We start from the raw sequence: 23,524 nt of genomic DNA on the forward strand, positions 1-23,524 counted from the left end.
CCCCCAACTAAGGTCTCAGACACGTACAAATGGTGCCCCTCTTTGAGGGGCTCGTACATCTGCACATCTGGACCTTTCACATAGTGATCTGTTAAAGGCATAGAATCAGCCTGTAATATGCTGAGATCACCCTGGTAATATGGTGGAGTACAGACAGAGCCGGGTCTGTCTGGTTTCTGGCTCTGTAGCCTTTTCCCCTGGGTCTCCTGGGGCCACTTGAACCTGACTAGCCAGCCTCTCACCCATCTCTAGGACCCAGCCTGAACTGAGGCAGAGGGACTGAGGCTGCCTCACACTCTGTAATTTGGCCTCAAGTCACCATTGCTGGCCTTGTGCCTCAGCTCTGATAACTGGACTCTTGTCTGGCTCCTGCGTGCCAGAATCCCATGGTAACCTGCCTCGTTTCCCTGTGCCTTGTTTTTATCAGCCTGCCTCCCAGGGATTGAAATCGTGCCCTGAAACACAGTGACCAATGCACTTTCCTGATGTCAACCACCCCACTTGCCTTTCTGATTGGATTCCAGAGTACCTTAAATTTCTCGTTGTTCTGCAGTGCCTGTAGTCAGGAAACCTCTGTTCTGGACACTTTTCTCTGTAAATGACAACTTAGTTCTTCCAGTTACTTGTGCCAAAACCTTGGAGTCACCCATAACTCCTTGCATTGTCTCACATCCCACAGCTAAGCCTTCAGCAAATTCTTGGTTCTGTTTTAAAAATGTATCTAGAATCTGACTACCCTGGTCGGACCCGTTATCATTTTGTCCCTGGATTCTTGCAAGAGCCTCCTGACTGGGCTTCTGGCAGAGGAGTCCTGTCTTCTTTCAGTATATTCTCAACACTGCCACCTGACTGATCCTTTTAAAATATGAGCCAGATTATCTCACTCCCCACAGTCCTCCAGCGGCTTCCCGTTTCTCTCAGGGTAAAGGCAAAGTGCAAAGTGCAGGCAGTCCCTGTAGGGCCCCCATCATCTCTGCTCTTAGCTGCTTACCACACATCTCTCCAACACCCTCCTCACTCACTCCATGCCAGCCACACTGGCCTTTTTCTCTGTTCCTTGAACCTTGCTTAGGATTTCTCTACCAGGAATGCTTTTTTTCCAGATATGTGAATGGCTTACTTCCTCACTTCCCTCAGCTCCTCACTCAAATATCACCTGTCAGGGAGGCCTTGCCTCTCTAAAATCTAAATTCCCTCCACCGTCTTTCCTGCTTGATTTTTCTCCTCAGCACTTATCACGATCCAGTATACTATATATATATATACATATACACATTTATTTTTTTTTGAGACTGAGTCTTGCTCTGTCGCCCAGGCTGGCGTGCAGTGGCGTGATCTCGGCTCACTGCAACCTCCACCTCCCGGGTTCAAGCCATTCTCCTGCCTCAGCCTCCTGAGTAGCTGGGACTACAGACGTGTGCTACCACGCCCGGCTAATTTTTGTATTTTTAGTAGAGACAGGATTTCACCATGTTGGCCAGGATGGTCTCGATCTCCTGGCCTCAAGTGATCCGCCCGCCTTGGCTTCCCAAAGTGCTGGGATTGCAGGTGTGAGCCACCGCGCCTGTCCTACTATGTATTTTTATTTATTTATCTCTTTTATATTCTGTCTCCTCCAAGCCCCCTGGGAGCAAGGGTGCTTTGGTTCACTGCTGTATTTCCAAAGTCTAGAGCAGTACCTGGCCAGGGTATGAGTTCCATAAATATTTCTTGAATGAATGAATCAAATAGTTGAGTATTAGCACTATTCTGAGAATTTTGTATGTATTATCTCATTGAATTCTTACAGTAACCTTATGTGATGGTACTTTTATGACTCCCATTTTACAGATGAGAAAACTGAGTCTTAAGAGGTTAGGCGACTTGCCCAAAAGGACCTGAGCCACCACACAAGTATTCCACTAGAGCAGCAAGTTAGAATAAACACAGACTTTATTATTATCCAGATTTATGTTCAAGTTGCAGCTCTGTCAATTACTGGTTGAATTAAAACCTCTCTAAACTTTAATATCCTTACTTATGAAATAATTATTCTACCTCCCAGGTTATTGGAAGAATTAGATGAGATCATGGGTGCATTATTTTCATGTATATTTTCCTGATTGCTGGAAAAGTTGAAATTTTTTCATTTTGTGGTTGTTTGTTTGTTTGTTTGTTTTTCGAGGCAAGGTCTCACTCTGTCAGTCAGGCTGGTGTGCAATAGTGTGATCTTGGCTCACTGCAACCTCTGCTTCCCGGGCTCAAGTGATCCTCCCACCTCAGCCCCCCAAGTAGCTGGCACCACCGGCGCATGCCACCACACTCGGCTAATTTTTGTTACCCGGCTCATTTTTATGTTTTTGGTAGAGATGGGGTTTTGCCTTGATGGCCACGTTGGTCTCGAACTCCTGGGTGCAAGTGATCCATCCGCCTTGGCCTCCCAAAGTGTTGGGATTACAGGCGTGAGCCACCATGTCTGGCCTTTTTCATGTATTTACCGGCCATTCTGGTTTCCTCTTCTGTGAATTTCCTGTTCATAACCTTTTCTCAGTTTTTTTTCTTATCAAATTGTAGGAGTTCTTCGAATGTTAGAGATACATGTTGTCTTATATGTTATAAATAGCTTTCCTCATACCATCATTTGTTGTTTGATGATGTTTTTTGGAACCTTCTTTTATTCATCTAGTTAGCGCTCCAGGTTTGGTGGTTGATCAAATACTTGAGAATAGGGATTTATTCATTCAGCTAGTATTTGTTGAGGGCTGGAACTCTGTGGGATGTCCATTCAGTCAGGACACCTCTAAATCCTGACTTCCAGTTTACGTCACTGATGATGGCTCTCATCCTTGGTTCTACCAGATTCTTGAAAGAGAATGTGTTTTCTCAGAGCCAAGTAGACCCAAACATTTCCCAGACTTTGGCCACATAATCAGAAATTTCAAAAGAGTTCTGGAATTTGTGGGCTTAGCTCCAAGTTACCAGGCATCCGTTGTCTTCCCTGTGGGCAGAATTCGCTTTTAGCTTACTCCACCCTCCTCAGCTACGCAGCATGATTGGGGCAGACGATGAATACTTCAGATATCCCCTGTGGGGTTAACTCCAGAGGCAGCCTCAGAAACTAGACACATAATTCATATGGTCAAAACCTGGCAGGCTCTTCTGAAATCGTGTGACTTCCTATCAGGCCACCAGCTCTGCAGATCCTCAAAGGTCTGGCTGTCAGAACAATAGGGAATGAGAGCAGCGCCCAGATGCTGCCTGCTGGAGCTGCAGGTCCTGTTTGAGTCTGAACAATAAAAGTCCTGGAATGAATTACCAAGGCTCCTGATTGCACCCTGCAGGTTCAGGTTTAGTTTGTGGAGATGTCTCACATAAGAACTGTCTTGTAAGCCGCTTGGGGGGTTCAACAAAATTGGTCAACAAAATTTAATACCATACAAGCCCTTTTCTTGATCAAGCAATTTAGTAAGTCTCTGTCATAAGTCTCTATGACCTGCCATCCAATATGTCAAAATAAACAAAATTTTCATGTTGATGGTCACAAGTGCAGTCCCTAGAGTGGGGATCTGGTGACCACTTCCACCACTAACTAGCACTGGATCGTAGACAAGATCGTTAGTCTCTCTGTGTCTCAGCTCACTCATCTGCAAGATGTGGCTACTAATAGTACCTAAGATAGAGCTATTGGGAGGATTAAGTTAGGTAATGCATGTAAATCCTTAGAATAATGCCCAGCACAGTTGTTGTTCAATACATATTGCAAAGTTCCTAGTATAAACTCCCTGTTGCAGCCTTCTAATTTGACTTCAATAGATTGTTGGTACCATTTGCCTCTTTCTTTGCAGGTATCCTACCTAGGCCTAGAGAACTAAGCTTTTGCTGTTCATTATATGAAGCTTCTTAAATGTCATACAGGCTAGTTGCATCCTACTAATTCTTCACAGACTAGATAAAAATACTTTTGCTGAAGTCTTAATCGGCCTGTCCTGAAGTCAACCAGGCTGTATGTTAGTGCCTTGACTCAGTGCAGCTTTCAAGAGAGGCAGAAAGAATACCCACAGAGAAGGCACATGTGGGCGGTGGCAGTGTAGGACCAGGAAAGAAGCTAGGTCTCTATATTCCCTCGCATTTTGAATCTGTGTTAAATTCAATCATATTAGTATGAAGCAATCCTCTTACCTATCTCCTTAATCCAGCCTCTGACTGCCAGCTCACAAAAGAGGGAGAAGAGGCACTACATTTAAAGTAGTGATTATCTCTAACTAGAATTTTAAGTCCCTACATGTTTTGGCTGTAGAACCAGCCAAAGTTTTGTTCCAATTCCCTACAAAATTTCACAATAGTCAGGAGTTAGAATTGGTCCCTATGTTATGAAACAGCTAGTTTTTATACTTTAAACTTAAAATGAAGCTTTAGTTGTTTATTATTACTGTGGATATTTTCCAAGAGACAGAATAACATCTGTGGAAGATTCTACACAGGCCTTGATGCCAGACATTGTAATTATTTCCCTGCTCAAAGGCAATAGTCAGTGCCTCAAGGAACTCCCTGGCTATAAGCAGTTGGCTGCCTCGACAACAGATAGCTAATGTCTTAGCTCTTTTCTGTCTCTACCGCCAGCCTCTTGGGGATGTGACTTGAGAAAGCTCTCCCCTCCCCATTTTCTCCTGTAACCTCTTTGGAGGAAGTCACCAGGGTAACCACTTTCTTTTATGCTAGTTTTCTTGAGTGCAAGGGAAAACACTTCCCCACAGACATATGACAGAAGTTTAAGAGTGGTGAGGAGAAGAACACGAACAGTTACTGAGTACCTGAGCTATGCTTTGTGTACCTGATATCATTGAGTTCCCACATCAACCTTCTGAGATAGGCATTATCATCCCCATTTTACTGATGCTTAAACAGTAACATGCCCAAGGTCACACAAGTGGCAAGTGACAGTCAGGACTCAAACCCAGGTTTATCTTTCTCGGGCCTTTGCTCTTATTTTGCAAATTAAGCAAGTGTAGACACACAAAACCAATTTGTTTTTACCTAGGAAACGTGTTTTATGCTTTGTTTTTCTCAGTCTGGATAGATGCCGTTTTCTAGTCCCCTGGAACCATCGTATGCCCAGTTTAGTACCACTTTTGTTTGGTTTCTCGTCTTAGAATATATTCTGCTTATTCACTCCCCCGGCCACCTGAGAAATCTTTTTACTACTTTTAGTCCAAATCAAACTTTCCTTCCCTTGACTACCTAGGAAGTCTCTCCTTGGGTGAGTCTTAACTCGCCTGAACTGAGAGTCTCACCCTGGAACTTGGTTAAGAAAGGCCAGAGTTGGGAGGCAACAGCCTGGATGGAAGAGGGGGGTCAGTTGACACTGGAGGGGGCAAGCCAGACCAGCCGCAAGCAGGAGCCAAAAGGTCAGAAAGCCAGTGAGAATGGGGTGGGCCAACAGGAGCAGACCAGGCCACACAGGCTGTGACTCCCCCTTGCAGTGGCTGCTGGGCACTGGCCATGCCTGTGCTTGTCTCTCTCAGTATCTCTTACTCTGCCATCTTGTCATTCATGAAATTGCTCAAGAGACGCTTTCTACCAGTCCGTGCCTGCTTAGTCTCCGAGAAGTTTTGGGGGTTCATTTAGAATTAATTAATTTAGAACTAGCATTTAAAAGTTAAACGGGCTGGGCATGATGGCTCATGCTTGTGATCCCAGCACTTTGGGGGACTGAGGCGGGTGGATCACTTGAGGTCAGAAGTTTGAGACCAGCCTGGCAAACATTGAGAAACCCTGTCTCTACTAAAAATACAAAAATTAGCCAGATGGAGTGGTCAATGCCGGTAATCCCAGCTACTCGGGAGGCTGAGGCAGGAGAGTCACTTGAACCGAGGAGGCGGAAGTTGCAGTGAGTAGAGATCACTCCACTGCACTCTAGCCTGGGCAACAGAGTGAGACTCTGTATCAAAAAATAAATAAATAAATAAAATAAAAATAAAAGTTTTAAAACAGCTTATAAACTTGAGTTAAAATATAACTCAAGTGAAGCAGAGAGAAGAATATTAAAGGGGAAACATTTAATGAGGAGCAAAGCATAGCCTTGACCGAGCTTCTGCTAAGAGCGGATGGCTCTCACTTGGCACAGACATCTTTCTGTATTGCACTACTTGCCCTGGCAGAGGCATCAGAACTGTTAGAACCACAATGGACTGTGCAGCACTTTTCATGCAACACTCCCCCTTTAAGGTTAGCCAACCGAGAGCAAGAAAAAATAGGTAATAAGCTCAACATTACTCAGCTAGTAAGTGGCTGGTACAGGAATCAAGTTCTGCTTACTTAGTCTGAAGGTTTTCAGCCACTTCATACCATTTGATCAACATATTTGCCCTTTGTTTTTGAATGAAATAGAAAAAATAATTTCCTTCTTTCCTTCTTTCTTCCCGCCTTCCTTCCTTTTTTTCAAACAAAATTACTGCCATTTATATTAGTGTTTCTACCACTTCTATCATGACCACTGCTGGCAAAAATGTACTGAACTTTTGCTGTGCATCAGGCAATATGGCTAACTAAGGCTTTGCATACATCATTTACTCTTTCTAGTAACCCCAGAGTAGGTACTATTACTGTCTCTATTTACAGGGAAGACTGTGGAGGCCAAGAAGGATTAAACAATTTCCCTGCATCACACAGCCAAAAATGGTAAAGCCAGATTTGAAGTCCAGGCTCTTTGATTCTGGAGTTCATGCTAGTAACTACCAGCTCTCCGTCTGGCAGTGTTTTGTTCTTTTGTTGAATTACTAAAACAGAACTATTTTCTCTGAATGCAGAAGTTGAAACCTGTTGAGGAAATTCAACCAGAGTATTTCTTGAAGAAAAAAGAAACCATTTCCTGATTTCTTTATTTGTTAACCCTATGACATCATTAGGGTTGGTAGTAGCTGCTCCTTTGCCTTCACACACAAGAAAAAAGTGTGCAAATAGTTCTTAGGAACTACTGAAGCTGTTCAGAGGACCAGAAGCTAGACCCTCCTCTATTATTTTCTCTGCCCTACGTCTGGCCTTTTTAGCTTGTGGAACTTATCATCCCCGCCATCCAGTAAAGGCTACAAAGGCCCCGAGACTAGTCCCTGCAGTTACTACTGATGTTCTTTTCTTGCTTCTCATCTGCTTTTACTACCAGTTCTGTCTTGCCCATGGTCAAACCATTATCTCTAAAACTCCACCTTCTAAGCTACCTCTGACCCTTCGAATTTGCCATGGTTAGAAAAATCAGGAAAATAGGAAACCTAACCAGCAAAGAAACATCTGGGAGTGTATTTGTTGTCACTGTAAGCAATGACACATAGATTAAAACAATAAGATACCATAGGCAGGAATGGATAGAGTATGGACTCAAGAGTAAGGCAGCTTGGGTTCAAAGCCTGTCTCTACCCATTACAAGCCTTGTGTTCAACAATTTAACCAACCTTCCTTCCTTCCTTCCTTCCTTCCTTCCTTCCTTCCTTCCTTCCTTCCTTCCTTTCATGGAGTTTCGCTCTTTTTGCCCAGGCTGGAGTGCAATGATGCGATCTTGGCTCACCGCAACCTCTGCCTCCCGGGTTCAAGCGATTCTCCTGCCACAGCCTCCCGAGTAGGTGGGATTACAGACATGCGTGACCACGCTGGCTAATTTTGTATTTTTAGTTTTTAGTAGAGACGGGGTTTCTCCATGTTGGTCAGGCTGGTCTTGAACTCCCGACCTCATGTGATCCACCCACCTCAGCCTCCCAAAGTACTGGGATTACAGGTGTGAGCCACCGTGCCTGGCCAATGTAAGCTTTCTAAGTCTCGGTTTCTTAATCTGTAAGGTGGGGATAATAATAGTAGCACTTCACAGTGTCGTGAGGATTAAACGAGATAATGTATACGAAGCATCTAACACTGTACCTAGAGCATATAAATGCCAATAAAGGCTAATTATCAAAGTCATAACTTAGCCTTTTTACCCATTAAATTAGGACAAATTTTTGAGTGATATTCAGTGTTGGTGAGTGGGTAATGCAATGTGCTCTTGTATACAGGCACACCTTGTTTTATTGTGGTTTGCTTTTTCTGCTTTACAGATACTGTGCTTTTTACAAGTTGAAGGTTTGTGGCAAACCTGCATGGAGCAAGTCTATTGGTGCCATTTTTCAATGGCATGTGGCTCACTTCATGTCTCTGTTGCATTTCAGTAAATCTTGCAACATTTCAAACTTTTTCATTATTATATCTGTTATGGTGATCTGTAATCGGTGATCTTTGGTATTACTGTTGTAATTGTTTTGGGGTCCCGTGAACATCACCCACATAAGTTGGTGAACTTAATCAAGAGAAATGTTGTGTGTCTTCTGACTGCTCCATTGATCAGCCATTCCTGTGTCTCTCCCCCTCCTTGGGCCTCCCTCTTCCCTGAGATAACAATATTGAAATTAGGCCTCTAAGTGTTCAAGTGAAAGAAAGAGTTGCATGTCTTTCACTTTAAATAAAAAGCTGCAAATGATTGAGGTTAGTGAGGAAAGCATGTTGAAAGCCAAGGTAGGACAAATTCTTGAAGGAAATTAAGTGCTATTCTGATGAACACACAAATGATAAGAAAGTGAAACAGCCTTATTTGCTCATAAGGAGAAAGTTTAAGTGGTCTGGATAGATCAAACTAGCCACCACATTCCCTTAAGCCAAAGGCTAATCTAGAGCAAAGCCTAACTCTCTTCTGTTCTATGAAGACTGAGAGAGCTGAGGAAGCTACAAAAGAAAAGTTTGAAGCTAGCAGAGGTTGGTTCATGAGGTTTAAGGAAAGAAGCCATCTCACCCAGGCGCAGTTTCTCATGCCTGTAATCCCAGCATTTTGGGAGGCTGAGGTGGGTGGATCGCTTGAGGTCAGGAGTTTGAGACCATCCTGGCCAATATTGTGAAACCCCGTCTCTACTAAAAATACAAAAATTAGCCGGGCATGGTGGCGTGTGCCTGTAGTCGTAGCTACTTGGAAGGCTGAGGCAGGAGAATTGCTTGAACCCAGGAGGCGGAGGTTGCAGTGAGCCGAGATCATGCCACTGCGCTCCAGCCTGGGTGACAGACCAAGACTCTGTCTATTAAAAAAAAAAAAGAGGAAGAAGAAGCCAACTCCATAACATAAAAGTACAGGATGAAGCAAGAATTGCTGCTATAGAAGCTGCAGCAAGTTATCCAGAAGATCTGGCTGAGGTCATTGCTGAATGTGGCTGCACTCAGCCACAGATTTTCTTTCCTCCTTTCTTTTTTTTTTTTTTTTGAGACAGAGTCTTGCTCTGTCGCCCAGGCTGGAGTGCAATGACACAATCTCAGCTCACTGCAACATCCACCTCCCAAGTTCAAGCAATTCTCTTGCTTCAGCCTCCCGAGTAGCTGGGATTATAGGTGCCCGCCACCACACCTGGCTAATTTTTGTATTTTTAGCAGAGACAGGGTTTCACTATGTTGGTCAGGCTGGTCTCGAACTCCTGACCTCAGGTAACTCACCCTTCTTGGCCTCCTGAAGTGCTGGGATTGCAGGTGTGAGCCACCGTGCCCAGCCTGCATTTTCAACATAGATGAAACAGTCTCTTTTGGAAGCAGATGCCATCTAGGACTTTAATTCCTGGCTTCAAAGCTCCAAAGGACACTTCGATTCTGTTGTTAGAGACTAATGCAGCTGGTGACTTGAAGTGGTTTCAAAATCAACGCTTATTACCATTCCTAAAATCCTAGGGCCCTTAAGAATTATGTTAAATATACCCTGCCTGTGCAGTATGAGTGGAATAACAAAGCCAGGATGACGGTACATGTGTTTGCAGCATGGTTTACTGTACATTTTAAGCCCACTGTTGAGACCTACTGCTCAGAAAAAAAAGATTCCTTTCAAAATATTGCTGCTCAATTCAGTGCTTTTTCTTGGTTGATAAAAAACAAACAACTAAAATATTACTCCTGGCTGGGCTTGGTGGCTCACATCTATAATCCCAGCACTTTGGGAGGCCGAGGCAGGTGGATCACCTGAGGTCAGCAGTTCAAGAACAGCCTGGCCAACATGGTGAAACCCTGTCTCCACTAAAAATAGAAAAAATTAGCCGGGCATGGTGGCGCATGCCTGTAATCCCAGCTACTCGGGAAGCTGAGGCAGGAGAATTGCTTGAACCCGGGAGGCAGAGGTTGCAGTGAGCCAAAATTGTGCCATTGTACTCCAGCCAGGGCAACAAGAGTGAAACTCCGTCTCAAAAAATAAATAAATAAATAAATAAATAAAATATCACTCCTCGTTGACAGTGCACCTAATCATCCAGGAGCTCTGATGGAAATGTAGAAGATTAGTGTTTTTATGCCTTCTAACACAACATCTGTTCTGCAGCCCATGGATCAAGAAGTAATTTCAACTTTCAAGTCTTATTATTTAAGAAATACATTTCATAAGGCTATATATAGCTGTCATAGATAGTGATTCCGCTGATGGATCATGGCACAAAGCATACTGAAAACCTTCTGGAAAGGGTTCACTCTTTTAGATGCCATTAAGAACATTCATGGTTCATAGGAAGAGGTCACAACCTTATCAACATGAGCAAGAGTTTAGATGAAGTTGCTTCTAACCCTATTGGATGACTTTGAGGGGTTCAAGACTTCAGTGGAAGAAGTAACTGCAGATGTGATTGAAATAGCCAGAGATCTAGAATTAGAAGTGGAGCCTGAAGATGTGACTGAATTGCTGCAATCTCATAAAACTTGAATGGATGAGGAATTGCTTCTTGTGGATGAGCAAAGAAAGTGGTTTCTAGAGATGGAATCTACTCCTGGTGAAGATGTTGTGACCATTGTTAAAATGACAAAGGATTTTAAAATACCACATAAGTTTATTAAATCAGAAGTAGAGTTCGAGAGGATTGACTCCAATTTTTTTTTTTTAAATAGTCTCGCTCTGTCACCCATGCTGGAGTGCAGTGGTGCAATCTCAGCCTACTGCAACCTCTGCCTCATGGGTTCAAGCGATTCTCCTGCCTCAGCCTCCCGAGTAGCTAGGATTACAGGCACATGCTACCATGCCTGGCTAATTTTTGTATTTTTAGTAGAGATGGGGTTTCATCATATTGGCCAGGCTGGTCTTGAACTCCTGGCCTTAAGTGTTCCACCTGCCTTGGCCTCTTAAAGTGCTGGGATTACAGACCTATTGACTCCAATTTTGAAACAAGTTCTATTGTGGGTAAAAGTGTTACCCAGCAGCATCACATGGTACAGAGAAATCTTTTGTGAAAGGAAGTTGATACAGCCAACTTCGTTGTTGTCATATTTTAAGAAATTTCCACAGCCACCCCAACGTTCAGCAACCACCACTGATCAATCAGTGGCCTTCAACATCGAGGCAAGACCCTCTACTAGGAAAAAGATTACAACTCACTGAAGGCTCAAATGATCCTTAGCATTTTTTAGCAATAAAGTATTTTTAAATTAAAGTGTATATATTTTTCATGCATAATGCTATTGCACACTTAATAGACTACAGTATGGTGTAAACAAGTATAACGAAACTTTTTTTTTTTTTTTAAAGAGACAGAGTTTCTCCCGGTCACCCAGGCGAGAGTGCAGTGGTGCAATCATAGCTCACTGTAGCCTTGAACTCCTGGGCTCAAGCAGTCTTCCCATTCCAGCCTCCTGAGTAGCTGGAACTACAGGCATATGCCACCATGCCCAGCTAATAATTTTCATTTGAAAAATTTTTTTGTAGAGATAGAGTTTTTCTTTTTGGCCCAGGCTGGTCTCAAACTCCTGGCTTTAAGCCGTCTTCCTGCCTTGGCCTCCCAAAGTGCTAGGATTATAGGCATGAGCCACCATACATGGCCTGTAAACAAAACCTTTTTTTTTTTTTTTTTCTTGAGATGGAATTTTGCTCTTGTTGCCCAGGCCGAAGTGCAGTGGTGTGATCTTGACTCCCTGCAGCCTCTGCCTCCCTGGTTCAAACGATTCTCCTGCCACAGCCTCCCAAGTAGCTGAGATCACAGGCATGCGCCACCACACCTGGCTAATTTTGTATTTTTAGTAGAGATGGGGTTTCACCATGTTGGCCAGGCTGGTCTCAAACTCCTGAGACATATACCTGTTGTAAATTGGTATACGTCTTTTTTGCTTTTTGTTTTAGAAACAGGATCTTGCTCTGTCACCCAGGCTGGAGTGCATAGGTGTGATCATAGCTCACTGCAACCTCAAATTTCAAGATTCAAGCAATCCTCCCATCTTAGCTTCTGAAGTAGCTGGGATTGTAGGTTCACCCCGCCATGCCTGGCTAATTTTTTATTTTTTGTAGAGACAGAGTCTCACTATATTGCCTAGGCTGACATCTTTTCAAAAACAGTTTTGGAATATATATAAAGGATGTTAAGATAGTAATATTATTTGACAGATTCTACTTTGGGGACACTATCCTAAGAAAGTAATTTAATATCTGAAAAGAAAACCTGTAGCCTGATAATGTTGTAATATTATTTATTATAGTGAGTAATTGATTTCAGTAAAATATGATCTATCAGCTCAGTGCAGTTTGAAATTATGAATGTAAAGACTTCAGCTACATGAAAAAATATATTACTATGTTGAACAAAATACTTAAAAAGGAATACAATTATATGGACTGATGGTTATAGGAGTATATGAAGTTTTCACACAGTTGCTAGGACATAACTTGTTTGTCTTTAGTGTCTTTTTGACATTGCCAAAAGCTTCTGACACTACTTTTTTAAAAATGTGGCTTAAAAAATTGTCAAGTAATGAGCAAAACAGAGACTCTACTTCTGTGCCTTAGTCTCATTGCCAGTTGCCAGCCTCTGATTTCAGGTGGGTGTGAGGGATGGAGGGACAATGAGGGATGAGGCAGGGCTCGGAGATGGTCTAAGAAGTCACTTGTATCTCATGTGGGTTTCTTCTCTCAAATTCTTGAGTTTCTCTTTATAGACCCTCATTAGAAAAGTCGGTTATGTGGGCATCAGTATGAGCCCTTACTCTTGACTCCACCACTGTTAGGGACATCCTCAGTGAAATCCCTGACAATTTCTTCAGTAATACATATGTTATATAACACTCCTTTATAATGATTTTTTTGGGGAAAGAATAGTAATTCTTTAGATGCTAACCCAGCCGGCTGTAAACAAATCATGGTTCTTTAAAAACCATGGCTCACACCTGTAATCCCAGCACTTTGGGAGGCTGAGGCAGGTGAATTACCTGAGGTCCGGATAACAGTAATGCATCCTCATAAGAGTTCAAGCCAGTAATTAATGAAATACAAAGCCAAAGTCCCCAGAAATGAGAGATGGTTTGTGATGAGAGAGGATCTGGGGTGTCTGTGGTCTGTTACACACATTACTTGATGATAAAAACAGTGATCTTTACTTTGGCTTACAAAAGGCTCGTGCTTCAGCAGAGTGCAGCAAAATGTTCCCTGACCAAAACGACTGTGTCTGAAGGGCACAGCTTGGGGGAATACAGCTATGAAAAAAACTACACGAGGAACAAAAACATTGGATGAAAATAGTGGTTGTATTTGGAAGGTAGAATTATAATCCTCCCCTTTTCTACGTTCCTAAATTGTCCATAATGTGGTTATATTTTTTTAATAATAAAAGTCCAATTTAACAAATATTTATTGGACACTGCGTGTCAGACACAATGCTTGATGCTGGAGATACAATGACCCAGACAGGCACAGTCACTGCTTGGCGGAACTTCAGTCCAGTGGGAGAGGCAGATGATTTTACAAGTCATTGTGACACCATGTGACAAACCCACAATAGAGGAGTTCAGAGAGTGGCTGGATTGTGTCCGAGTGGTGCCTAACCCAAACGGGTTGGGAGGAGGTCCCAGGAAAGGCTTCCTGGAGGAAGAGGTGACTAAGCTGGGACCTGAGGGCTATATAACTGAAGATTGGAGTGAGGAGTGTTCTAAGCAAAAGAAGCTGCATTTGGCAAAGCTTGGAGGAACTGAAAGTTTGGTGACACTGGAGCATAGATTGAGCATGAGAAGGGAGTGGTGAGAGATGAGGCTGGAGCTTGAAGTAGGAACCAGATCACAAAGGACTTTGCTTTCTTATTAAGGAATTTGGATTTTGTCCTAAGGCGGTGTAAAGCTATTGGAAGGATATTCATTTGCTTGCCTGCTTGCTCACTTATTTATTCTTCCAAATTTGTTGTAGAAACTCAAATAATATGGAAGCATGAAACATGAAAAGTAAAAGTCTCCCCTTCTCTACTTCACACCCTCCCCCCAGTTCTAATCCCCATGGTACCTATTGCTAAGTGTTTCATCTGCACCCTTTCTGCAGTTTTCTGGGAAGTATATGCAAGCGTGTGTGTGTATATACATATTTTCTTTCTACACAAATGGAATCATGCTATACTGAATAACTCCCATCTTAAAAGCAAAACTTGACTGGGTGCAGTGGCTCACACCTGTAATCCCAGCACTTTGGGAGGCCGAGGCAGGTGGATTACCTGAGGTCAGGAGTTCAAGACCAGCCTGGCCAACATGGTGAAATCCCATCTCTACTGAAAATACAAAAATTAGCTGGGCATGGTGGTGTGTGCCTGTAATCCCAGCTACTTGGGAGGCTGAGGCAGGAGAATTGCCTGAGCCCAAGAGGCGGAGGTTGCAGTGAGCCAAGATTGCGCCATCGTACTCCAGCGTGGCTGACAGAGCGAGATTCTTTCTCAAAAAAAAAAAAAAAAAAAAGGCAGAACTTGATACACCTTAGGTATCTTTCTATGTCAGTACCTAAAGATATATATTCTTTCTAATGACAGCAGCACAGCCATTTATGTAGCTATCCCATCATTTATATAACCAGTCTCTTATTGAGAGACAATTAGATTATGTCTAGTTTTTCACTATTACAGAGGAAAACTGCAGGGAACATTCTTGTTATGATATCGTGTTGGATATTTACATAAGGGTATTTGTGAGATATGTTCCTAGAAGTAAAATAGCTGGGTAAGAAGGGTTGTACATTTAAAATTAAGGTAGATATTACCGTATTATTCCCTGTTAAGGTGATATCAATTTCTACTCTCACCAACATATGAGTGTCTGTTCTTTCATATACTCTTCCCCACTGGATATATCCTTTTTTTGATTTCTATTTTTTGAGATGGAGTCTCACTCTGTCACCCAGGCTGGAGTGCAGTAGTGCAATCTTGGCTTACTGTAACTTCCACCTCCCGGGTTCAAGCAGTTCTCCTGCCTCAGCCTCCTGAGTAGCTGGGATTACAGCTGTGCGTCACCATACCCAGCTAATTTTTGTATTTTTAGTAGAGACGGGGTTTCACCATGTTGGCCAGGCTGGTCTTAAACTCCTGACCTCAGGTGATCTGCCCACCTTGGCCTCCCAAAGTGCTGGGATTACAGGCGTGAGCCACCATGCCCCGCCAATATATCCATTTTTTAAAAAAACTGTGGTTAAAAAACACATAACTTAAAACTTAACATCTTGATTTATTTTTAAGTTTACAGTTCATTAGTGTTAAGTATATTCACATTGTTGTGTAAAACAGATCTCCAGAACTTTTTCATCTTGCAAAGCAGAAACTCTGTACCTATTAACAACTCCCCATGCCACCTCCCACTAGCTCCTGAATCACCATTCTACTTTCTGTTTCTATGAATTTAACTATTCTAGGTGTCTCGTACAAGTTAAATTACACACTATTTGTCTTTTTGTACCAGCTTATTTCACTTAGCATAATGGGTAGAAACAAGTCACAGGTGTTGCCTCTACTCAAGGGCGGGGATTCCACAAAGGCGTGAACACCAGGAGGTGGACATCATTGTGGGATACCTTGGAGTCTGTCTACCGTAATCTTCCTTGTATATTCCAAATATTTTCTCCATCTAGTAGTTTTTGTTTGGGAGTTTTATGCTCTAATTTGTATGAGTTAAATGTGTTGGTCTTTCTGTGACTGCTGTGTTACAATTTCTAGTATGTTTAGAGTGGCCTTAATCATGCCAAGATTTCTTAAACATTCACCCGTTTTTCATCCATATTGTATTCTAATGCTATTATTACTTTGGAATTTATTTTGATGTGAGATTTGAGAGAGGGTTCCCATTTTTTTTTTCCTCTGTAGCTAATCTATTGTCTCAATTCTTGAATAATTTCTTTTTTACATAGCTTGTTCTGTTTTTTACTGTTTTTTTTCCCATTGATATGGCTACCTATTCCTCTGTCCATTTCCACATCAGTATATTATTGTAACTTTGTAATATGTTCTTTGATTTTACTTTTAGTTATGTTTTTAGGCAGATACATATGAACATACATTCATGTGGTCTAAGATTAAAGATAAGCAAAAAGTGCAGTGAACAGTATCCTCTCCATCTCTGTCCTAGCCACCCAGTTCACTCCCCACAGGTGCAACCACTGTTGTCACGTTTATTTATTCCTTCAGGAATATTTTATGTATGTATCAGCAAATGTGAATATATAGTCCACCTCATGCCACACTTTTCTCTGAAGATAGTTGACCATACACATGTCTGTACCTTGCTTGAATGAAGTTAAGTGAATAAAGTTAAGTGAATAATACATCTTGGAGATCTTCCCATGTCAGTTCACAAAGTACACCTTTATCTGTTTTAAAAATTAGTACACAGTATTCTTTTATATGACTTTGTCATAATTTATTCAGCTAGTTCCCTATTAATGAACATTTAAGTAATTTACAGATTTTAAAAAAATATATAAACTTATTGGCCGGGCGTGGTGGCTCACACCTGTAATCCCAGCACTTTGGGAGGCCGAGGTTGGTAGATCACGAGGTCAAGAGATCGAGAGCATCCTGGTCAACATGGTGAAACCCTGTCTCTACTAAAAATACAAAAAATTAGCTGGGTGTGGTGGTGCGCACCTGTAGTCCCAGCTACTCAGGAGGCTGAGGCAGGAGGATAGCTTGAACCTGAGAGGCGGAGGTTGCAGTGAGCCGAGATCGCGCCACTGTACTCTAGCCTGGTGACAGAGCGAGACTCTGTCTCAAAACAAAACAAAACAAAAAAACTATGCTTCAATGAACAACATTATGCACATACAGTTTCATACATATACAGGTATAGCTGCAAGAAAAATGACTAGAAGTGAAGTTGCTGGGGCACAAGCATATGCATGTGTAGTTTTAGTAGATATTGTCAGTTCACCCTCCCTAGAAGTTGTACATTCCTCTCTGCTGTATATGAAAGTGCCTGTTTGCCCACATCCTCCCCAACTCAGTGTTTTGTCAAACTGTTTGATCTCTGTTAGTCTACATAGTAGAAAAATTATGTTTCTGTTTAGTTTTAATTTGTGCATTTTTCTTATGAGTAACGTGTGTTTTTTCCTGTTTATGAACCATTTGTATTATGTTTACCGTGAACAATCTGTTCATATCTTTTGCCTTTAATTCTTTTGTGTGGTTGATCTTTTTCTTACTGATTTTTAGGAGTTTTTATATATTAGAAAAACTAGCCATTTATCTGTGATATGAGATGTAAATATTTTCCACATTTGCCACTTGTCATTTGACTTTCTTTATACTGAAATTTTTTTTCTAACAGACATTACAATTTTTTCATGTATCAAAAGTTAATGTTGGCTGGATGCAGTGGCTCACTCCTGTAATCCCAGCACTTTGGGAGGCTGAGGTGGGTGGATCACCTGAGGTCAGCAGTTCGAGACCAGCCTGGCCAACTGAGTGAAACCCCCGTCTCTGCTAAAAATATAAAAATTAGATGGGCGTTGTGGCAGGTGCCTGCAATTCCAGCTACTCAAGAGGCTGAGGCGGGAAAATCGCTTGAACCCGGGAGGCGGAGGTTGCAGTGAGCCAAGATTGTGCCATTGCACTCTAGACTGGGCTAGAAGGATGAAACTCCGTCTCAAAAAAAAGAAAAGTTAATGCCTTTTTGGTTGCTCCCAGGTTTTTTGTTATAGTTAGAAAGTTATCTTCTTTTGTTTTTGCTAACACTTTATACCTTTATTTTCAAATATAAAATCTTTGATCCATCATGTGCTTATGCCAGTGTAAGGTATGCAGTGTGAATCTGGCTTATTTTTTTTCCACTTTGCTAGCTAGTTGTCTCAACACTATTTATGAATAATCATCTTTTCTCCGATAGTTTAAATGCTACTTCCATCATAAACTAAATTCTCATAGTTTGATTGGATTTTGAGACTTCCTATTCTCTTTTATTAATCTGCGTGTCTATTCATACACCAGAATCACACTATTTTAATTAATGATTATAGCTTCATATTATATTTTAGAAACCTGGTAAGATTAATTCACTTTCATGCTGCTTTTCGGTGATTTTTCTAGGCTATTCTTGCATGTTTATTTTTCCAGATGAACTTTATTTATTTATTTATTCTCTTTACACCAGTGTTACTGCCAACCAAATGAACTTTAAAATCGGCTTGTTGAGGTCTTTTTAAAAAATGCTTTTATTATTGGGTTTTATGCAGCTAAGGATATGATCAGATTTGTGTTTTAGGAAGATTATTCTGACTGCAGGGTAGAACTAGGTTGGAGGAAACAAGATTAGAGACAAAAAGACCAATGACAAGATTGTTGCAGTAATCCAGGGGAGAATGGATAGATGAGGAGTTGAGGATAGTATTGGGTTCAAGAGGTGTTTAGAAAGTCAAAATGGCCAGGTGCACTGGCCTGCATCTGTAGTCCCAGCTACTCAGGAGGCTGAGGTGGGAGGACCACTTGAGCCCAGGAAATTGAGGCCAGCCTAGGCAACACAATGAGACTCCATCTCTAAAATATAAATAAATAATACAATACAATAAATAAAAATAAATAGATGGTCAAAATGACCAGACTTGGTGATGACTGAGATGTGCAGGGATGAGGAGGAAGCACTCAAGGATGACCCCAAACTTTCTGGGTTAGGCCGTCGAGTGGCGCCATTCCCAGCGATTTGAAACACACGAGATAGGGGCTGGTTTAGGAGGAAGATGGCAAATTCACTTCTAAATATATTGAGTTTGAGGTGCCTGCAGGTAGTCCTAGAAGAGTGTGGTCCAGTGGGCTGTTGAATGTATAAGTCTGAAGCTCTGGAGAGACATCTGGGCTAGAGAGATGGAGTGATATGACAGAGCCCTGAGGAACCCCAGCACTAAAGGATGGTCAGGAAGTTCAGGAGTGTGCGAAGAAGACTGGAAAGAAACACTCAGAGAGGTAGGAGAAAAATGGGACGGCATGGAGCCCCAGGAGCCAGGAGAAGAATGTTTTCAATAGAGCAAACTGTCAGTAATTTCCAGTGTTCCAAGAGGTCAGGAGCTGAAAATGCCCATTTGGATTTAGTAGCGTGCAAAGTCTGTGGTTATCTTGGGAAATTTCGGTGGAGCAGAGGGATGGGGGCTGAGGTCTGTGGGAGTTGAGGAAGTGGAGTTGAGGCAACTCCTTCATCACAAAGCTTGGCTGTGAAGAGGAGAGACACCGGGACACCGGGGCAAGGAGGAGGAATAGGATGATGCAGCAAGTTAGCGACTTTTGTGTCTCCTCCTTCCCCAGCTTTACGTGGGAGAGGCTGGGCCATTTGTTTGTTTTTTGTTTTGTTTTGTTTTGTTTTGTTTTTTTGAGATAGAATATTGCCCTCTTGCTCAGGCTGCCATGCAGTGGCTCACACTGGCTCTCCTCTTCCCAGCTGTGGCACATCCCAGCGGCAGTTAATCTTGCCACTTTCAATCTCCCCATTACCATTATAAGTGCTGGGATTACAGGCAGGAGCCACCAGGCCCAGCCTTTGGCCCACATTTAAATGCAGATGGAAAGAGCTAATAGAGGAGAGGAGGAAGCAGTCTGTGATCCTGTTCTTTGAGGACCAAGTAATACTGAGAAGGATATAAGGGGTTGGAGAAGTTGGCCAAATCAGTCTGGCAGAGAGTAAGTCAATTATAGTGTTGGTATATGTTCCCTGACAGTTTTGACTTTTAATTTTGTTGAGCTGTCTAATATTTTTGCTTGGCTATTTTGAGAAGGAGCCTCTAAGAAATTGGATTCAGGTTTAGAAATTTAGTTGAAGATTAAGTTTAAAAAGTAAGGTACAGACAGTGTATCAGTAAGTTACCATTTGTGTAAAAAGGGAGGAGATATCTGCACTCCCATGTTTATTGCAGCACTATTTACAATATGGAATCAACCTAACTGTCCATCAACAGATGAATGGATAAAGAAAACAGGTTATGTATACACAATGGAATATCATCCAGCCATAAAAAAGAGTGAAATCCTATCATTTACAGCAACACTGATGGAACTGGAGGCCATTTATGTTAAGTGAAATAAGAGAAAGACAAATATCGCATGTTCTCACTCATATGTCGGAGCTAAAAAAGTAGATACCACAATGACACACAGTTAGATTGGTGGCTACCAGAGGCCAGGAAAGGGAGAGGGGGATGAAGGAAGAAAAGGGATATTTATTTATTTATTTTTAAATTTTTGAGATGGAGTCTCGCTCTGCTGCCCAGACTGGAGTGCAGTGGCACGATCTGGGCTCACTGCAACCTCCATCTCCCGGATTCAGCAGTTCTCCTGTCTCAGCCTCCCGAGTAGCTAGTAGCTTGGATTACAGGCGTGCGCCACCAGGTCCAGCTAATTTTTTGTATTTTTAGTAGAGATGAGGTTTCACCATGCTGGTCAAGCTGGTCTGGAACTCCTGACCTCAGGTGATCCACCTGCCTCGGCCTCCCAAAGTGCTGGGATTACAGGCATGAGCCACCGCACCTGGCCAAATGTATTTATTACCACTGAACTGTACATTTAAAAATGGTAAAGATGGGCTGGGCACAGTGGCTCAGCCCTGTAATCCCAGCACTTTGGAAGGCTGAGGTGGGCAGATCATCTGAGGTTAGGAGTTCGAGACCAGCCTGGCCAACATAGCAAAACCCCGTCTCTACTAAAAATACAAAAATTAGCGAGGCGTGGTGGCATACACCTGTAATCCCAGCTACTAACTACTCGGGAGGCTGAGACAGGAGAATTGCTCGAACCCGGGAGACAGAGGGTATAGTAAGCTGAGATCGCAACATTGCACTTCAGGCTGGGCAACAGAGCGAGACTCCATCTCAAAAAAAAAAGAAGGTAAAGATGGTAAATTATAAATGCATGTATAGAGTTATATTATACACATATGTTTAATAAAGAGCAGCAGTAATATGTATTCTTATTTGCTGTACATGCATAATCAGTATTTCAAAGGACTCACAAGAAGCAAAAAATCTGGTATCGATTGTGAGGTGGGAACTGGGTCGAAGGGGAGCGAGAATTGAGGATGCCTTGTCACTCTCCACTGTTATATAGGGTATTTGTTGAGAATGCCAATATATTACTTATTTAAATAACGTGATGTAAACTGTTTAGTTATCTTTAAAAGTAATGATTACAACAGGGCCTGAATTTTCTTATTTACTAATGATTCTAAGCATCTGTAATCTGTCTGTTCTGTGTCTAAGAAGCTAAATCTTGCTGTGTGCCTGTGAGGTGTGGATCTTTGCCTGTACAGTTGGTCCTCCATTATCTCATTATCTGAGGGTTGGTTTTGCATATGTAGATTCAACCAATTACAGATCAAAAATATTAGAAAAAAAATTGCATCCTTACTAAACATGTTTTTTCTTTGTCATTATCCCCTAAACAATACAGTATGACAACTATTTACATAGTATTTGCTTTGTATTAGGTATTATAAATAATTTGGAGGTGATTTATAGTATATGGAAGGATGTTTGTAGGTTACATACAAGTACTGTGCCCTTTTATATCAGGGATTTGAGTATGCATAGATTTTGGTGTCTGTAGGGGGCCCTGGAACCAATCCCCCTGCGTACTGAGGGACAGCTGTGCTCCACTCTTCCCCACTGGGGACCGACAGCCTTGGGGAAGTGGACAGTCCTGGTTCTTGGGTCAAGGAAGAGGACCATGGCCTGGAACATCCTGGCCCTATCCACTATAGCTTGACCGAGTGGGCTCTAAGGCTGGTTTATAGGGAAGGAAAGAGGAAATGGGGTAGTAATTATTGTGTCATAGGCAAAAGCCTCACACTGGCTGTCCCCTTCCCCTGGGAAAAAATTCTTTAGCATTTCTCTGTAAATTTCATTGTGATTTTAGAGCATGTGTCTGAATGATTACATGGAGTAAACGTATTTCACTTTTTTTTTTTTTTTTTTTTTTTTTGAGACAGAGCCTTGTTCTGTTACCCAGGCTGGAGTGCAATGGCACAATCTTGGCTCACTGCAACCTCTGCCTCCTGGGTTTAAGCAATTCTCCTACATCAGCCTCCCCAGTAGCTGGGAGCACAGGCACCCGCCACCATGCCCAGCTAATTTTTGTATTTTCAGTAGAGACAGGGTTTTACCATGTTTGCCAGGCTGGTCTTGAACTCCTGACCTCAGGTGATCCACCCGCCTCGGCCTCCCAAAGTGCTGGGATTACAGGCATGAGCCACCTGCCCAGACACGTATTTTACTTTTAATCTCTAGTTTTATATTACATGCTGATTGCACATCCCCACTCAGGAACATCAGAAGAAATACAAAAAGAGGAAATATTTCAAAACTTTGAAATCCCACAAAAATAATCACATTCACTAATAAATATTTCTCCTTATTTATTTTTTAGGGTACCAGGTAAGGAGACTCTCCAGTTTAGTTAGGACTATGCCTAATCTGAGTTCCCATAAATCCTCAAATGAACTATATATGTTATTCTTCTGGAGACTGAGGAAGCTGGTTAATCACTGTTCCCTTGTCTGGGTTCTCAAAGGTTCAGCACTGAAGCCGGGAGCCAGGAGAGGATAGCATTATGACCTTTACTCCTCAGTAACTCCTAAGGCTCACAGAGTGGTTAGTTTTCCCTCCCCTGTCTGTAGGCAAAAGTGGGGACTTGCAGATAGGAAGAATAGGCTTCCTTAGTGTCAGTCCCGCTGGTTTTTCTTCTTCTTCTTTTTTTTTTTTTTCCTGAGACGAGTCTTGCTCGCTCTGTCACCCAGACTGGAGTGCAGTGGCGTGATCTTGGCTCACTGCACCTCTGCCTCCTGGGTTCAAGCGATTCTCCTGCCTTAGATTCCAGAGTAGTTGGGATTACAGGCACGTGCATGACCACACCCAGCTAATTTTTATATTTTTAGTAGAGATGGGGTTCGTCATCTGGCCAGGCTGGTCTCAAACTCCTGACCCCAGGTGATCCACCCGTCTCAGCCTCCCAAAGTGCTGTGATTATAGGCGTGAGCCACTGCACCCGGCCCACTGGTTTTTCTGTTTGTTTGACAAAAGGAATGCCAGACCAACTCAGTCTCCAAACAAGCGCCCAGATCCAGTTATGGCTTTAACTGAGATTAAATGGAGAATCTGGTTTCAGGGACCAGTTCTTCCATTTTTGGTAGCTTGGTTCGTTATGGAGACTAAAGTTCTTACCATGATGAATTAAAAAAAAAAATTTATTTTTGTATTTTTCTGCTGTTTAAACCATGATGAATTTTTAGCAACCTCTCATCTGGGCAGATTCTCCCAAGAGATAGTGAA

At 42.3% G+C, this 23,524-nt stretch overlaps 1 protein-coding gene across 2 annotated transcripts in view, besides 2 other annotated features; it reads left to right on the top strand.

Moving 5' to 3' along the window:
* Positions 1–23,524, top strand: part of CRTC3 (CREB regulated transcription coactivator 3) — a 115,423-nt gene that overhangs the window by 27,559 nt on the left and 64,340 nt on the right. The gene's annotated exons all lie outside the window — the stretch shown is intronic.
* Positions 5,400–5,900: an enhancer, noted in NCBI's record as "H3K4me1 hESC enhancer chr15:91106113-91106613 (GRCh37/hg19 assembly coordinates)". NCBI's record gives its function as "activates a minimal SCP1, AML or CMV promoter by ChIP-STARR-seq in naive H9 embryonic stem cells {active_cell/tissue: H9 hESC(naive)}" and the evidence as "EXISTENCE:reporter gene assay evidence [ECO:0000049][PMID:30033119]".
* Positions 6,172–6,301: a silencer, noted in NCBI's record as "silent region_6824". NCBI's record gives its function as "represses an Ori minimal core promoter by ATAC-STARR-seq in GM12878 lymphoblastoid cells {active_cell/tissue: GM12878}" and the evidence as "EXISTENCE:reporter gene assay evidence [ECO:0000049][PMID:35858748]".

The sequence above is a fragment of the Homo sapiens genome, chromosome 15 (assembly GCF_000001405.40).
Source record: "Homo sapiens chromosome 15, GRCh38.p14 Primary Assembly".
Lineage (NCBI taxonomy): Eukaryota > Metazoa > Chordata > Mammalia > Primates > Hominidae > Homo > Homo sapiens.